The sequence below is a fragment of the Homo sapiens genome, chromosome 9 (genome assembly GCF_000001405.40).
Source record: "Homo sapiens chromosome 9, GRCh38.p14 Primary Assembly".
Classification (NCBI taxonomy): domain Eukaryota; kingdom Metazoa; phylum Chordata; class Mammalia; order Primates; family Hominidae; genus Homo; species Homo sapiens.
In genome coordinates, this window is record NC_000009.12 from 113,130,712 (window position 1) to 113,149,696 (window position 18,985).

General features: G+C 44.3%; 2 annotated features.

Moving 5' to 3' along the window:
- Window positions 1,118–1,412: a silencer, noted in NCBI's record as "tiled region #7760; HepG2 Repressive non-DNase unmatched - State 22:ReprW". NCBI's record gives its function as "represses a minimal TATA promoter and a strong SV40 promoter by Sharpr-MPRA in HepG2 cells {active_cell/tissue: HepG2}" and the evidence as "EXISTENCE:reporter gene assay evidence [ECO:0000049][PMID:27701403]".
- Window positions 7,624–7,819: a silencer, noted in NCBI's record as "fragment chr9:115900615-115900810 (GRCh37/hg19 assembly coordinates)". NCBI's record gives its function as "represses an EF-1alpha promoter that drives an FKBP-Casp9 reporter gene in an ReSE screen in K562 erythroleukemia cells {active_cell/tissue: K562}" and the evidence as "EXISTENCE:reporter gene assay evidence [ECO:0000049][PMID:32094911]".

Consider the following 18,985-nt stretch of genomic DNA (forward strand, 5'->3'; position numbering starts at 1 on the left):
GATTGCCTTTCTGTAACCTAAAAATAGGTGCTTTCTCAGGACACACTCAGCTTGTGTGGGTGGCACACCTGAGCACCGCCTTACACAGGGGCTAAGGATCTGACATAAGTGAGATCAGCTGCCTTACAAACAAGAGAGCCTGTTCTCCTTCAGCTGATGCTTGTCATGCCTTGAAGAGCAGTATCCAACCTCAAAGATCAACCAGACCCTCTCCAAAGCTTGACCTTCCTGTCTTACAGAGATACTCAGGGACTAATTCTGCCCTTTATTGTTTTTTGTCTCTTTAAGGATTTTCTTTTCTAACCTTAAAAATGGGAAATTCAATAACCTAAATCTGTTACATTGTTTAGTAGCTTTCACTTTTTCATTTTAATTTGTCATTCTGACAGTGGTGTGAACAACGTAGAAAATCATACTAGGAGTCAGTAAACTTTGTTTTCCACATTTGCCAAAATCATCCCTTGGGTCATGTTTTTTTAAGACTACAAGAAAAGGGTTCAGTATCAGGAATTAGAGAACTCTTCTTGCTGACCTGCCTATAAAGGATTTGATCGTGGAAGCCTGTCCGTATTACTGATTCAGTAGCTCCTCTGAATCTATTTACTCACAACCTTTATTAAGTCCCTCATGTGTGTCAGATGCCACGTTAGTAACTGGGGACACATGGCCTGACCTTAGGGAGGTCTATAATTTAGCACAGAAAGGTGTAGAAACAAGTGCCATAAAGGATTATAGATGCTGTGGTGGTGTGAAGTGTGTGTGTTTAAGGTGTGGGGCAGAGGAGACAGTGGTCAATTCTAATGAGGATAAGGAATTTCTGGAAGTTCTTCATAGAGGATATGATGCTTAAGCTTTGCCTGGCACAGGCATTGGGGAAAGAGCAGACATTGAAGCCAATATTCTTTTTCCAACCTTGAAGCCCAGAATCTTCTAGCTGTGTAACACTGGGCTGGGGAACCTTTGAGCCTGCTTCCAGATCTGTAACATTAGAATAATAATAGTAATCTCATACTGTGGGGGTGAAGCTTACGTTGGTTAGCTCTGAAAGTGCATCATCAGCATGAAACTGCCATTTCTGGAAGCAATCACTTTCTGGTTCTTATAAAAGAGCCCATTGTAAGGGGCAAATGAGGAAGATTCACACTGGCTGCCTCAGACAGGGATCTCCACATGGAAACATTAAAGAACAGACAGTTTCTGGTGGAGTGGGTGAGTAGGGGAAAGGATATTCAAATCCAAACTACCTGTGCTTGAAAGACCTCTAGTTAAAAGTGTCTGAAAAGCCAGTGTCCTTGAGCTGTCCTTGGTACTGATCTCGCCAAGGCTTAACTCTTGTTATCTTGGGAAAGCCTGCTTGGCTCTCTGCCGTGTCACTTTGCAGGGTCTGAACTGTTGCCTCCATCCAGCAATAACATGATGGATTTTACCATATTCTCCAGCCGCCTGAGAGGAGTGCTGGGCTCCCATTCTAAACTTCTGCTGTGGAAACTCACATCACTCCCACAAATGCATAGGAAATGTTTAGTTCTTGCTAGAGCAGTGGTTCTCAACCAGGGCCAATTTTGTCCCCCAGGGAACACTTGGCAATGTCTGGAGATATTTTTAGTTGTCACAATTCAGAGGTGGGGGCATTTGCTTGTGGCCCCCAGAAGCTAGAGGCCAGGGATGCTGCTAAACGTTCTGCAACACACAGGACAGTTCCCCACAGCAAAGAATTATCTGGCCAATCTGGACCAAAACATCAGTAGTACAAACACAGAAACCATGCTTTAGAGTTGAGGCAGTTGGTGTGGTAATTAGAACTTTGCTGGACATAAGTCTGGCTTAATGATCTGGATTTACCATTGTAACCTTGGCTAAGTCATAAGTCACTGAACTGTTCCAAGCCTTATTTTCTTTCTTTCTTTCTTTTTTTTTTTTTTTTTTTTTTGAGACAGAGTCTCACTCTGTCACCCAGGTTGGAGTGCAGTGGCACAATCTTGGCTCACTGCAGCCTCCACCTCCTGGGTTCAAGCAATTCTCCTGCCTCAGCATCCTGAGTAGCTGGGACTACTAAGCCTTATTTTCTATGTGTGAATGTTTAGGCTCCTGAACTAGATGGCCTCAATGCCACCTGTCTGTTCTAACTCAACATATCTTCAGTCCATAAATACTTGGTGAGTAGCATGCTCCTAGCAACTAACATTCTGTGAGACTATTAATATAAAATATAATGGAATGTATAAAATAAAGGAACAGAATGGGTAAAAGTTGTAAGAGCTGATATGATAAAAGGTGACTACTCGGTCAGGCATGGTGGCTCATGCCTGCAATCCCAGCACTTTGGGAGGCCGAGGCAGGTGGATCACCTGAGGCTAGGAGTTCGAGACCAGCCTGACCAACATGGAGAAACCCTGTCTCTACTAAAAATACAAAATTAGCGCTATTGCACTCCAGCCTGGGCAACAAGAGTGAAACTTCATCTCAAAAAAAAATAAAAGGTTACTACTTAAATATATACCAAATTTATATATAATATGCATGCTAGACAAAACACAGACTATAGATCTTCAAGTGGCGAGAAGAATGACACCTTTACTAGCAGTTAAAGAAATATAAAATATGCCACTTTTCCTAATCTTCGGAAAGAAGCAACTCAGTGGCATTGGGACTGTGAGGAAACAGATGCACTTAGATATTCTTCTGTCTCTGAACAAACACAATCTGGCACTATGAAACAGTAGCAACAAATGTGGTTCTTCAGCTCAATCAAATTATTCCGTTACAAAAAGTGTACCTGAAATTCATTGTTACATCTATAAAATTCATAGGAACCTAATATTTTAAAGTAAACACATACTAGATTACCCCCAACACACACACACACACACACACACTTTATCCACTAAACAGTGGATAACAGACACACACACACACACACTTTATCCACTAAACAGTGGATAACAGACACACACACACACACTTTATCCACTAAACAGTGGATAACAGACACACATACACACTTTATCCGCTACACAGTGGATAACAGACACACACACACACACTGTATCCACTAAACAGTGGATAACAGGCACACACACACACACTTTATCCATAAAACAGTGGATAAAGTCACTGGATTTAAAGAGTTAATTTTCAGAATTAGGAATAATCCTTTGTATTATGTCTTCCTCTTAAATATCTTAAATACCAGCTTTAGAGTTCATGGGGGCCAGGGAGGCACACAGGTTCCAGAAGGAAAGGAGCCATCCTGGATTGTGGGCCCACCCTTCAGGAGAGGAAGGTGAGAAGCTCCTGGTGCAACTTTCCATGTGGAGATCCCTGTCTGAGGCAGCCAGTGTGGGTCTTCCTCATTTTCCCCTCACAAGAGGCTCTTTTACAAGAAGAACCAGATAGAGGTTGCTTCCAGGAATGGCAGTTTCAGGTTGGTGATGCAGTTTAAATATAGAGACCTCTACCACGCTGGTTCCAAGTGACTTGACAAGGACATGCCAACCTAGCTGTGCCAAGGAGAGAGAACACATCTTAGGATGCCATCTTTTCATGACCCTCCATTGCACCTCCCCTGAGTGTGAGGAAACAGACATCTTTATTCTGCCTACAGGTCAGGGATGAAGAAGTAGCTTCCACCACCACCACCACATGCAGGAAAAGCTCCAACTAAAGGAGTGAATCTAGGAAGTATTCTTCTGCTCCCTAAAGTCTCACTTGAGCCTACAGCATTTTCAGAAGACTCTTCAAAAGAGAATTCAAAGACTGTCAGATGTAAGCAGTGACTGAAACAAAGGCAATGAGATGAGAGGTGGAAAGGAGACCAAATGTAAAAGACAGCAGAAACTTGAGTGGACGGTGGCACAAAGCAAGACCAAAGGGCAGCAGCTGTCCCCACCCTGGGCACAAAAGGTTGGTTGCATGTACATATGGTACTGGATCAATACTGCATACTGCAAACACTGCAGGTATGGGCATGTGTGCACATGGTCAATTGCATTTGCATGTATACATATGCATTAAGATATCTTTATGAACACAAATGCATATGTGTATTAAATGCATGTGTGTATATGAACATGTGGACAAAAGTATGCAAATGTCCATACCTGCAGTGTCACATACTGAATGTTATATGGAGAACATTTTGGTAATTTTAGGCGTCCTAGCATCCAGGGAACAATGTGCTCCTCAAAGCAAACCCATTGGTGTGTGAGGGGAACCCTGTTCATATCTTTGGTCATAAGCCAACTGGCTGTTGGTTGGATGACACCTAAGAAATCCTCAGAGGAGTTGTTCCCTGATTGATGTGGAGAGGGAGATGGCTGCCTGGGGTGGAGGCCATCACTGCCTCTATTAATCCAGGGACCAGCAGCATCAGTGCCCAGCAGACTAGGCAGGGCACTCAGCACACACAATTATCAGGCCCCTAGGTTGTGCCAGAGTGTTACGAGCTACAGTGGTGGTCTTTCCCTTTTGTAAGACCTCCATGACTTTGCTCCAGTAGTTTTCCTTCCTGGAATGTCTGCTCAATGTTTGGGGCCTAGCTCCAGTGACACTGCTGCATTCAGGAAGCCTTCTCTTGTCTCCACCTCCTCTTCTCCCAAGTTGAAATGTATCGCTACATTCCCAATGCACTGTTTCTATCTTGGCCCATTGTCATGTGAATACCTGCCTCTCATGTGTATGAGAAACATGATTTATCTATCTTTGCATTTGCACCATCTGGTGTAGTACCAAGCATTTAATATGTTTCAGTGTACTGTTGATCTGAAATGGCTCCTCAGTCTTGCCCCTGTATTTGGGGTATGATGAGTGCACACATCCTTCCTCTGATTAAGGCAAGTAACATTTAATCACTTCTGGGGTCTCATAGTGTAGCGAAAAATACAGAAATTTAAAACATCATTTTAATAAAGTGGTGACAGGGTACAGATGCAGAAGTTGCACATATTTGGGCCTCAGAGTGACAGTGCGGGCACGGTTGCTCACCATGCAGTCCTTTAGCTGGTGCCTGGGGTAGGGAATGGCCTGGCAACTGGGAAGGGACAGAGAAGCCCTGCCAGCCAGCAAGGCCAGGTGGCTTTCCCATGAGCTGCTGAAACCTACCCAGGGCGCGGGGCTTCATTCCTTTGCCAGGATGAAACACCCGGATAGGGACACAACCGTTCTCATGGAACCAGGCAGGTCGTTCGTGTTCCCCGCCCAGCTCCAGCATCCAGCCCAGTGCCTAAGGGAGGAAATGCCCTTCCTAGCCAAACCTGGTTTCAGCTTCCAACCATGATGGGAATTGTGTTCTCTGGCTTGGGAAATACATAATGGAGACAGACAATCTGGAGGTTTTGACCCCATCTGCCTCAGCCTGGCCAGAGGAACCAACATGAGGATGATCCACCTTCGGAGGATGCCCCTGTCTTTACCAGCAACCTTGTGACCTTGGGCCAGCCATTTCTCCTCTGAGTTTTCTCCTCAAGGCTGTGAATCCACAAAGACAGGGACTGTAAATGCTGCATTCACCACTGAATTCTAATCACGTACCTGTGCTGGCACATAGGTACGCTCAATAGATATTTTAAAAGTATGTGAATGTATCTCATCTGCTCTAGAATACTGTTTTAGAAATAAAGGACACTTTTACTCATAAAACTAAGTGGGTTCAGCTAAAATCATGATCTTATTTTGTCTTTTTTTCTCCACTGGGGATATTCTCGCACCCCAGAGGTTACTCACACATTCCTCAAATGACACGGAAAGTAGAGGAGTGGAGTGGAAGTTGAGATCGAGGGTCATTCTTCCAACTATTGGGCTTACTCAAGTAGTTTAGGGAAGACACCTCAGAGGGGTAGTTTGGTGGGAGGGGAAATTCTGTGGTCTGGGAGCCAGGAAACTTGTTCTGTTTCCAGGTGGCACCAGTAGCTGTGTAAGCTGTGACAGGCCCAGGCACTGGACACAGGCTCTGTGGCCCTTCTCACCCCTCCCTTCCCAGGTGCCCATCCAGACCATGCATATGAGGACATCTCTGTCTCAGGGACACAGGCAGCCCCTCTCCATGTGCATGGGAGATAGTTCTTAATATTAACAAAAAACTGCCACTGCCATGCTGGGCACTTCAGGCCGCAGCTCAGTGTTTCTTAACTCAGGAGTGTTCCAAACACCTCAGCAGCAAGACCCTATGGAGGCCAGTCCCTCCTTGGTATCTTTTATGTAAGAGAAGAGTTGGTTCAGCTTCACAATCAGGACAAGGAGGGCCAGCTGCAGCCCAGGGCGGGAGGACAAGCCCAGGTCTCAGAATTGGAGTTGAAAGATTGTTAGCAGGTGTCAGAAGATCTGGAAACTGGTCATTAGAAATTGTACAACCTAGAAAATCTGTTTAGCCTCTGTGGACTATCACTTTTGGGACAGTCAGTGAGACAATGCAGATGAAAAGTAGATTCCTAAACTGGGCACAGTAGTGCGTGCTGTAATCCCAGCTATTCAGGAGGCTGAGGCAGGAGGTTCATTTGAGCCCAGGAGCTCGAGACCAAGCTAGGCAACATAGCGACACCCTGTTTTTTTTTTTTTTTTTTAAAAAAAGCATGTTCTTTTACTAAACAGCTGTTGAAATTTAAATATTTACACCCTATCTTTCACAAAGCCCATTTTTCTGAGAAGAAAAAGGAAACTGGTAGAACTTCATTCTTCTTGGAAGAATTGTCAAGATGATCTTTGCACAACCCTCTGAGATCATTTCTCTCCTTTGCTCAGAGATATTTAATGCAGGAATTGCTGCTCTTTTCTTTTTTGTGAATCTGATTAAAATTATGGATCCTCTCGAGAGAGAGAAGTGCCCCTGCACTGACGCACATAAAGTTTTGCATATAACTTCTGTGGCTGTTTTACACCCGGAAGTCTATGAATCCAGGTTGCAAAAATCCAGAAAAGGAATGTTTGAACTCTGAAGCATCTCAGAAGCCAAGATTATGATCCTTGATTACACTGGCCAAGCCAGTCTAGACAGTGCCAGTAGCCTGCCCTGTCTCTCAACTTCTGGTTCATCTCCAGGGAATGTTCAGTTCAGACCTACCAAAGTTGACAGTCCAGGCAAAATCTGCCTTTGAATAGCAGTTCCCTCACCCTCGCTGCTCCTCGGACACTCTCAGCTGCCCTCAATGCATGGCACTGGTGTGGGAATAGGTACAATGGTGAAGCAGTCAGAGGCAGGTGGAGACCTTGTGGTGATGAAATCAGAGCTGGCTTCCAGCTCTGCTCTGCCACCAGTACTGCTTGGTCCTTGGCAGGTCAGGTCCCTTGATCCCAGGCCAGCGCTCCTCCCTCCCTCTGCTGTACCACTGACCTAGGCTCATCTGCAGAGCCACGCCTGGAAAGTCACACTTGAGGAAACAGGCTGCCTCCTAGGAGAGATCCCAGCTTGAATAAAGGCTCCCACTAAATCCAAGAACCTCAGAGAAGGGCAACAGTGCAGGTGTGGAGCTCACACTGTGCTTTCTTTCATAGAGCATAACAGATGTTCTGTACTGTCCCTAAAAAGGGACAGGAATGGAAAATGACCCTCCTCAGCCTTTCAAAAGTTTGGGGCCAAAGTATTGTCCCCACTGTGGTGTCCTGTTGGAGATTTAGATCTCACATTGGGTCAGTGTCTGGAGGGTAAGAAGCTTCAGCTGGACACAGTGGCCCACACCTGTAATACCAGCACTTTGGGAGGCCAAGGTAGGAGGATTGCTTGAGCCCAGGAGTTGGAAGTTACAGTGAGTTATGATCGCACCACTGTACTCCAGCCTGGGTGACAGAGGGAGACTCTGTCTCAAAAAAAAAAAAAAAAAAGAAGAAGAAGAAGCTTGGAAGTGTTCCTGATAGACCAGAATACCTGAAGTCAGTGAACCAGAGCTGCAGCCCCAGCTCTTCCTTTGCCCTCTAAGTGTCTTCAGGGAAGGCACTATCTTTTCTGGCATCAGTTTTCTCTACTATCAAATAGAAAGTATTTAACACAATGATCCCCAAGGTTTTCTCATATCAAAATGTCTCACAATCTCTGTTATTTATTCACTCCTTACCAAGCAAATGCCTCTAAGGCAGTGCCTGATTTCTGCTTATCACAGGTACCCTTCATTTTTTATGGGCTCAGGTCCCTTGGAGAGAAAACAGAGACATACACTTAGCATCTCAGCACAATTCCCTCCTTACCGGGCACTGTCACAATGGCACTTTGGGAAAGAGCAGCCAGGTTGTGATGGTTCTCTCATTTTACAGATGAGGAAAGCGTTTCAGAGAGGCTGTATGACTCACCCAGAGTCAAACATGGACTCACAGGATGTCAGTGTTAGAAAAGATGTCAGAGATTAAAAGAAGATAATCCTCACTGTCATTTTATTGATAAGGAAACAGGCCCAGGTAGTGACAACGGTGGCACCCTCAGATTCTAAGACTCCTAGTCCTGAGTTCTTCCCATAAAACTGCTTCCATTTCACCATTTGTAAACTGAGGCTAATCATACTGCCCAACTCATAGGGTAGTTGTGAGCCCTTAGCACTTACAGGTAAACACTCAATCAATAACAGCCATTATATGATGCTGCCTGCACTACCTCCTATATCCATTTAAGATTTATCCATGACATCTTTGGCTAGAACTACCCCAAACAGACTTTTCATAAAACATTCAACTTTTTGTCACCTGCAGTGGGGAACTGAGAATGGGTTGGGTAAATAAAGATGAGTGAGGACCGAGAGAGTTGAGGGCCTATTGTTTGGGGGTGGGAAGGTAGCTGTGCCATTGGGAAAGATTCTCCTACAGATGTAGAAGAATCCAGAGCCCAACAGTCCCCCGTTGCAGAGATGAACACAATGGAGAGGGACATCCGGGCCCAACTGGCAGCTCACAAAGAGTTATTGTCACTGTGTTTGACCTTGTTCAATGTCCCTGAAACAAGGGCAGCTGAGTTCTTGTGACAATCAGTGCCAGTCATCGGAGCACAAAACAAGCTCTGTGTGAGTTCCTGCCTCTCTTCACATGATGTTATCTCATTTTGCATGGCACTTTACAGTTTATCCAGGATGAGACTTAGGCAGACTTTATCTTACCTTGTCCCACAGAATCCCTGTGCAGGGGACAGAGAATATCTGTCATCATCTCACAAGATTTCATCTCCATTTTACAAGCTAGAAACTGAGATGCAGAGACTGTTGAATGACTTTATATAAGGTCACACAGGACACAGCTTAGCCAAGACCCAAACTATTGTTTTTGATTCCTTATTTAGTCCTGTCCGAGTCTTCTCTCCAAAGGACTATACTGATCAAGTGATTTTAGTGTCTTCCATTGCTCGACTCAAATGATAATTACTCTGAGAAGTTTTATACAGTTCTGTGTGAAGGTCATATTCTTTCTTTGTTCTGGTTTTCTGTGCCTACCCCAAGCTATCATGAAACTACAATAGAGCGCTGAATATACCGCCTCATGTGCTGGAATGGAGCCCTTCAACATAATTAAAGGATCACAAGCATTTGTGCTCCAGGAAATCTCCAGGCCCTATGGTGATGACTTGTCATTTTAAGTAATCACGTTTTTTAATAAAGCAGTATTTCTAAGAATTGCAAAGGACCTCTGAGTGTCAGAGAAAATAGACTGACACAGCAATTCCACTCCTAGGTATTTGCTGAATAAAAATGAAAGCATATATCCACAGAATCACTTGTACATGAGAGTTTATTGTTGCTGGAAACAACCCAAATATACATTGACAGGAAAAATATATCCACACAGTGGAACCCTACTTAGCAATAAAGAAGAACGAACCTCATAGCTCAGTCTAATCTCAGAGACACTGGGTTTACTGTTGCGGGAAGTCAGGAACCCCAAATGGAGGGACCAGCTGAAGCCATGGCAGAAGAACATAAATTGTGAAGATTTCATGGACATTTATTAGTTCCCCAAATTAATACTTTTATAATTTCTTATGCCTGTCTTTACTGCAATCTCTGAACATAAATTGTGAAGATTTCATGGACACTTATCACTTCCCCAATCAATACCCTTGTGATTTCCTATGCCTGTCTTTACTTTAATCTCTTAATCCCGTTATCTTCGTAAGCTGAGGAGGATGTATGTTGCCTCAGGACCCTGTGATGATTGTGTTAACTGCACAAATTGTTTGTAGAGCATGTGTGTTTGAACAATATGAAATCTGGGCACCTTGAAAAAAGAACAGGATAACAGCAATGTTCAGGTAACAAGAAAGATAACCTTAAACTCTGACTGCTGGTAAGCTGGGCAGAACAGAGACATATTTCTCTTCTTTCAAAAGCAAATGGGAGAAATATCGCTGAATTCTTTTTCTCAGCAGGGAACATTCCTGAGAAAGAGAATGTGTCCCTGAGGGTAGGCCTCTGAAATGGCCGCTTCGGAAGGCGGCTGTCTTTTATGGTTGAAGCTGTAGGGGTGAAATAAGCCCCAGTCTCCCATAGCGCTCCCAGGCTTATTAGGATGAGGAAATTCTCGCCTAATAAATTTTGGTCAGACTGGTTGTCTGCTCTCAAACCCTGCTCCTGATAAGATGTTATCAATGACAATACGTGCCCGAAATTTCATTGCGAATTTTAATTTCGCTCCGGTCCTGTGGTCCTGTGATCTCACCCTGCCTCCATTTGCCTTGTGATGTCTTATTACCTTGTGAAGCATGTTATCTCTGTGACCCACACCCTATTCGTACACTCCCTCCCCTTTTGAAAATCACTAATAAAAACTTGCTGGTTTTATGGTTCAGGGGGCATCACGGAACCTGCCGACATGTGATGTCTCCCCCATACACCCAGCTTTAAAATTTCTCTCTTTTGTACTCTGTCCCTTTATTTCTCAGACCGGCCGACACTTAGGGAATATAGAAAAGAACCTACGTGAAATATTGGGGGTGAATTTCACCCGATATCTGGCTGAATTTCCCCCAATAGTTTACCAAAAGAAGCCAAACACAAGTGAGTACATACTGTGTGATTCTATTTAGATGACCTTCCAGAACAGACAGAACTAAACTATAGTGATAAAAATCAGAATAATGGTTGTAGAGGGGAGGAGGGGTGGTGGGAATAATTGAATAGAAAGAGGCACAAGGTAATTTTCTAAGGTGATGGAAAAGTTTATATCTTGTTTAGGACGATAGTTTTATAGATGTGTACATTTATCAATGCTCACCAAAGTGTATGTTATAACTTGTTTAGTAAGTTAATTATACCTTATTAAATTATACCTCATTTTTAAAGGTCCAAATTGAGGGAAGAGCAAGAGTTACTTTAGGAAAATGTGTTTTCCTTACAACTCTATTCACTCTTACACTTTGTTCTGCATATGGTTCCATAGGTTAGTGATATATATTAGATACATATATATAAATATATATGTATTTAGTTTACATCTCCATTTTATAATGTACAAGATATTTTACAATATACAATATACAATACTTATACACAATTGTGTATAAATAAACTCATATATTTAGTTTACATCTCCATTTTACAAGCTGGAAACTGAGATGCAGAGATGGTTGAACAACTTTATTCAAGACAAGACAGTTTTGTTTTGTCTGTTCTGGAAGGTCATCTAGATAGAATCATACAGTATGTACTCAGTGTCTCTGAGATTAGACTGAGCTATGACGTTTGGTCTTTTTTGTTGCTGAGTAGGGTTCCACTGTGTAGATACAGTTTTCCTGTCAATGTGTATTTGGGTTGTTTCCAGCAACAATAAACTCTCATGTACAAGTGATTCTGTGAACATATGCTTTCATTTTATACAAATATATATCTAACTAATATATATCACTAACCTATGGAACCATATGCAGAACAACCCATAATATATATCTCTAACAAATATTATATATATATATATAATGTGGTCACTTTGAGGAAGACTTTCAGAATGATCCTTGGCTTTTTGATATTTAGTCAACCTAACATGTTTTTTCTTTTTCCTTTTTTCATTTTAGAGACTGGGTCTTTCTCTGGCACACAGGCTTCAGTGCAGTGATACAATCATAGCTCACTCCAACCTCTGTCTCCTGGGCTCAAGTGATCCTCCCACCTCAGCCTCCTGAATAGCTAGAGCTACAGCATGCACCACCATGCCTAGCTAATATTTTAGTTTTTTGTAGAGATGGGAGTGTCTCTCTATGTTGCCCAGGCTGGTCTTGAGCTCTGGCCTCAAGTTATTCTCCCACCTTGGCCTGACAAAGCACTGGGATTACAGGTGTGAGCCATCATGCCCATTCTGGAATAGCCCATAATGACATATAGGAAGTCAGGATCACTATGGTAAAAATGAGGAAAAAGCACCATAAGGATGTTCAGAAAAAGTATCCACAAGAGAGTGCAGTGTCCTACTGAGGGTGAGGGAAACTGAATCCTGAAATGGGATTCACAGGTGGGAGGCTGGGGGACAGGCAAATGCAGGGAACAGCTTCTTCCACTTAACAACATTTAATCCTCTTTTGAGCACCTTGATATACCTCCTAAGAAAGGTCCTGTTGCTCATCTCTAAGAAAGAGCCTCCAGAATCAGAGTGCTTGGGCTCTGCCCTTCACCAGCTGTGTGCCCTACTGCAAACTACTTGGCCTCTCTAAAAAGACAGGGATCATGATGGCACCTATGTCATTGGTTATTGTGCTGATAGATTAGAAAAAATAATCCACATGAAGTAGGTAGCATAGAATTAGATACACAGCAATTGTGCAATAACCGTTAGATAACAATTTTTGTTGTCCCTAATATACATGGAAAGCTCAAGCAGGCCCTGGAAATTCAGTGGAAAACTCTGTATTCCAGCAGCAGAGACAGACAAGTTGACAGTTCATTACAAGTATCATGTGCTAATGACACAGACAAATGAGATTTAGCGATTCGGTACTATAGGTTATGTTTATTCCTGCAGGGGCGCCCCAGAGGTGGAAAATGACTTTCCTGTCTTCAGCACAGTCTGGAGTCAGGTCTCCTGAGTCTCAGCCCAGGGGTACATCCACTACACTTTATCCCTTTGAAGGAAAAGGCTCTTTGAATTCTCTAGAGCTCTGTTTATCACTCTTTAGAAACAGCTATCTGTCAGTTACTGGAGAAACAGGTTAGATGACCTCTTTACATGGTCCTTATGCTCAACCTATTTATACAGAAGCAACTCTAGGCTGCTTTCTGGAAGCTGACAGCCCTACCTTCCCCTCTGCAAAGTAGGCAGGGGCCTTACAGATGGAGATAGTCTATAAAGGAGCTGTCTCCAGGCATGAAGAAATGGGAACAGACTATTCAAGAGCTGATATGAGAGTGGGAACCCAGACAGACTGGCTCCAGGTCTGGACAGACACATCCAGGCTCTGGCTGCAAGCAGTGCTGGTTCTGGAGTTTGCCAAATAAGGGATTAGGGATGTGGATTGCCATTAACCCTGCAGCTTTCACAACCCGGATTTGCCTCCTAGGGAATTTCTCATGGCCAGCAGTGAGCATCCACCCATTTCTCCTTCCCCTCCCCATTTTTTTCTTTCTTTTTTTCTTTTCTTTTTATAGAGATTAGGTCTCACCATGTTGCCCAGGCTGGTCTCGAACTCCTGGGCTCAAGCAATTCTCCTATCTCAGCCTCCCAAAGTGCTAGGATTACAGATGTGAGCCACTGCACCTGGCTTCTTCTTTCTTCCTTCTCCTTCTCCTTCTCCTTCTTCTTCTTCTTCTTTTTTTTTGAGATGTCTCAAAAGTCTGTCTCAGTCTGTCACCCAGGGGCTGGAGTGCAGTGGCATGATCTCGGCTTACTGCAACTTCCGCCTCCCGGGGTCAAGCAATTCTCTGCCTCAGCCTCCCGAGTAGCTGGGATTACAGGCGCCTGCCACCATGCCATGCTAATTTTTGTATTTTTAGTACAGGGTTTCACCATCTTGGCTAGGCTGGTCATGAACTCCCGACCTCATGATCCACCCGCCTCGGCCTCCCAACGTGCCGGGATTACAGGCATGAGCCATCGCGCCCGATCTGGCCTTTTCTTCTTTATTTGAAGTGCCACACTCTCAGACCCTCATGTTCACTCACACATCATTCCAGCACTTACCCACATTCTTAGCTCATACATCTGCTCATATAAACTGAGGCTTAGCACTCACTCTGACTCCCAGGCACAGAATCATAAATTCACCAAACACACATGCAGACACTCCCATGCAGTCACACACACACTCATTCACACATACTGTAACATCTGCATACACACTGTGCACACAATTCACATCCCCATACACACACAGGTGACCCCTCATCCACAATGCTTTGCTGACCAATCACTTATGATATCTCCACCAATCACTTATGATATCTCCAAAGGGGCCGTTTAAGCATGTTTGGGAGAGATGCCTGGACCACTGAGTTTTCCCCCAAAAAAGCCTCCCTGACCTGTCAACTACCAGGTGGTTTGTTCTCTGTCCTGCAAAACCCGGACCCCAAACAGTGCAAGGTGTTTGTTGAGTGAATGAAGTATCAACTGCTTATCATCCTATTCTTCAGATTTGCCTCTGAATCACCGTGGTAATAGTGTGACATGGATGTGTCAACAACTTACTGCCAAATTTACACACCTTCTTTGTTTGGCTAAATTAAATATTTCTCAATACTAACTGCTTTAAAAAGAAGAGCTTATATATGGGGAGTCTCAACCAAAAAGAAAAAGATAGAAATGGTACTAACTATCCAGCCCCTCTGCCCCAATCCCTAATTGGTGGCTGCAGAGTTGAGATCTGGGAATGTTGCCTCTTAGAATGGAGGTTGCTCAAAACAGACATGATACAAATGGATTCCTCCCAGGACACTGATTAGCTACTGGAGTCCCATCCTCCCCATCCAGAGAGAACAGAAGGGACAGGGCTGTGTCTCAAAGGTATTGTCCTGGTGGGTACACATAATACTAACCACCAGCCTCAGACTGTGACCAGAGCTAAGATTCATTCAAGTGCCTCCCTGACCCCTCCCCACCACCAGAAAAACACCTTTTGTTATCGGAGCAGAACCAGCTTCTCCCTAGCTGTCTCCCCCACGGCAATGTGTCAGAGACAGGTGGTTTACATCTGCTAGGCATTCTTCCTTCTCAGACTCAGGCACAGTGGGTGGGGAGTCTACCTACAGTGGCCTCAGCTATTGGTTGAACTATATATGAAATTGCCTTTTTTTTTTCAGGTTAAAAATGGTCAAATGTCAGCCATTTCATCTGGTCAAATGAATACTTTACCTTACTCCAAAAGATAAGTCAGAAGATTTTTCCAGTTGGGTCCTTCCTCCAGCACCAAATGATCATTTGGTTTGTGATACATTGGGAGTCAAAATATACATAGTAGATCAACATGGGGATATCAACAAGATGCTCCTGTTTGAACGGTTTTAGGGTTCCTGGGGGTGAAAATCCGTTTATTTCTTCAAGATGAGGAAAACCTGCTGTAGAGGAAATTTACTGTACACAAGCTGAAACCCGCTTTGCCAAATCTCTGTAAGATTAGGAAATGGCGTACAGTCGGGATCAGGTAGAGATTTTTGGGGATACGTTCAGAACTCTGAATGCAGCAGGAAGCCTACACAGGGACAGAGAGAGGGGGTCCATTCCTATCTTCTTTTCATGAGACTGAAAAGAAGTACAGGGCCAAGCTTCTAGATAAGCACTCACTTTTTTAAAACATTGTATTTATAGATCCACATTCACTGCAGCATTATTTACAATAGCCAAAAGGTGAAAGCAACCCAAGTGTCCATCAGTGGATGAATGAATTAGCAAAATATCATATATACTTACAAAGAAATGTTATTCAGCCTTAAAAAGGAAGAAAAGTCTGATACCTGCCACACTATGGACAAACTTTAAGGACATTATGTTAAGTGAAATAAGTCAGTCACAGAAGGACAAATACTATGTGATTCCACTTAAGAGGTATCGAGAGACATTCAAATCATAGAGATACAAAGTAGAATGGTGGTTGTCGGGGGCAGGGGGAGAAGGGAATAGGGAGTTGTTAAATGTTCATAGAATTTCAGTTTTACAAGATGAAAAGCATCTTGGATATGGGTTACATGATGTATAATTAATGAATATAATTAACAATACTGAACTGTACACTTAAAATAGTTGAGAGCAAATTTTATGTTGTGTGTGTGTTTGTTGTTGTTGTTTTGTTTTGTTTTGAGATGGAGTCTCACTCTGTTGCTCAGGCTGGAATGCAGTGATGTGATCTCTGCTCACTGCAGCCTCTGCCTCCCAGGTTCAAGCAATTCTTCTGCCTCAACTTCCCAAGTAGCTGGGATTACAGGCACCCATTACTACGCCCAGCTAATTTCTGTATTTTTAGTAGAGATGGGGTTTCACTATATTGGTCAGGCTGGTCTCAAACTCCTGACCTCAAGCGATCTGCCTGCCTCAGCCTCCCAAAGTGCTGGGATTACAGGCGTGAGCCAACATGTCTGGCCTATGTTATGTGTATTTTGCCGCAAGTTTGCTTAAAAAGTATTTGTAAATTTGCTGTCGTCAGCTGGATGGGACATGGATGGCTGTTTTTCAAACCTGTTTACCCTGCAAATGTGGGGCAGTCTGAGCATTGGCCTTCCAAGCTCAGTGCAGCATTGTTGGAGAAACCAGGGCCCCTCAGTCTTCCTGCAGGAGGCAGGCATGCAGGGCCTGGGAGTCCCGGGCAGCTGGAGTAGACAACCTTGCAGCAGCTGTGAAAGGAACCTGTCAAGACAACTGAGGTAAAGAGCCTATACCTGTGAATTCTCAGGGGTGTTTCCCTCCTCAGCCCTGGCTTCAACAGTGAAGGGATCCTCACAGCACTTACCTTCCCTGCAAAGCTAAAACAAACCATTGCTTTCTTCTCAGCTGTCCAGAGGCCTGCTGTTTGCTCTGGTTTGGCTCAAAGCCCTTCCAGACAGTCAGGAAAGTTATAAATGTGGATGACCCCTACAATTGGCTGGATAATGGCCCTAAAAATTATCCAGGTCCTGATGGTCGGAACCTGTGAATGTTATCTGGCAAAAGAGACTTTGCGCACGTGATTAAATTAAGGATCTTGAAATGGGGACATAACCCTGGATTATCTGATGGGTCCTAGATGTAATCATAAGGATCTTTAAAAGAGGGAGGCAGCCAGGCGTGGTGGCTCATATCTGTAATCCCAGCACTTTGGGAGGCCGAGGCGGGCAGATCACGAGGTCAGGAGATCGAGACCATCCTGGCTAACACGGTGAAACCCCATGCTACTAAAAAACAAAACAAAACAAAACAAAATACAAAAAACTAGCCAGGCGTGGTGGCAGGTGCCTGTAGTCCCAGCTACTCGGGAGGCTGAGGCAGAACGGCATGAACCCGGGAGGCGGAGCTTGCAGTGAGCCGAGATCATGCCACTGCACTCCAGCCTGGGAGACAGAGCGAGACTCTGTCTCAAAAATAAACAAAAAAATTTGTTAAAAATTAGCTGGGCATGCTGTAGTCCCAGCTACTCAGGAGGCTAAGCTAAGGCAGGAGGATCACTTGAGGCCAGGAGTCTAGACTGCAGTGAGCTATCATTGCAATAATGCACTTCAGCCTGAGTGACAGGGCAAGACCCTGTCTCTAAAATAAATAAATAAATTGGGTGGTCAGAGTGGCCTCACTAAGAGAGTGACATTTGGGAAAAAAGAAAAAGAACAAAATGCAGTGAGAAAACATACATATTAAAAACCCATTGGTAGTTCCTTCTTGTCCCAGAGTAAATTCCTGACTTTCAACACAGCCTCCGGGTTGTTGGCGGCCTGGCTCCTGCTTCCTCCAGCCTTACCAGCACAAGATCCAGTAAACACTAGCCCCCACGACACGCACACCCACTGTCTCCACACAGGCCAACCTTGAATGTGCACGCTCCTCCTGTGTCACACACATCAGATCCACAATACTGCTCATGGCATAAATATAAAATAATAGAGGTATCGTTGGAGAGAAGATGGAAGGCTAGTTGATGGAGTTAACAGGGAAAATATGCAAAGGTCCTGGCCATAACATGTTCAACTCCACCCTCAGGCTCACTTATAACTGCAGATCAGCACGTGGAGGGCAGTTGCAGGTCATCCATTCCACCCCTCACTGTACGGATGGGGACATCGAGGTCCCAGAGACGGGCAGTGGCATCCTTGGGGATCACACAGCCTTACCTACACATAAAGACCCAACATTCTGCAGGAATTACATGTTGTGCATGTGGTCTTTTCATGAGTCTCAAGTTCCTCTACTGAACCTCAGAAGGAGAAATGACTGGTTGGATTTCCGCTCTATCAACTGACTACAAATGAGCCCAGGTTAAAGGGCCTCTAAATAATCTTTGTGACACTCAAGGCAGTGCCATCTTTCCTGAGTGGGGATTCTGTCTCGGGGGGTCTAGGTGTGCTATGGAAAGACAACAACAGACTATTGCTCCGTGAAAGGAGGGGAGTCATGGGCTGTCAAAACACAGAATCCGGAATCTCTTGCCATGGACCCAGGCTTGGGTGGCTGTGTTGTGATCTTATGATCTAGGATCCCATGGTTTGCAACAAGCTCTCTGCCTGGGGGACAGGGAAGGAGTGCCTCTGGTGGTACAGAAAGAAATTTTAGGACTCCCTGGCTAAGTGTTGTAACCAAAACATCCATGAGGAAGTTAGAAGTAAGTGTAAAGGTCATCAGATTGTGACAAAGCCAACAAAAACCGTCAAATGAATAAAGCTGTGTTGCAGATTCTTCAATGCAGGTGGGGGGAGTGGGGTGCACCAGAGCCCACTTATGTGAAGGTCAGATTATCTTACTCCTGCTTCCCATGTAAGGCCCAGAGAGGTGAAAAGCTACACCCAAAGCCCTCCCCAGCTCTTGGAACCCAGATGCTTCAGAGATACCCTTAGCCCTTCTCCCCAGTGCTTCCCCATGGCCCAGTAAACCATGACAGCAGCAGCTCTCCCTCTCCAGCCCCATCACAGTGCCACGGCCCATGTTCTCT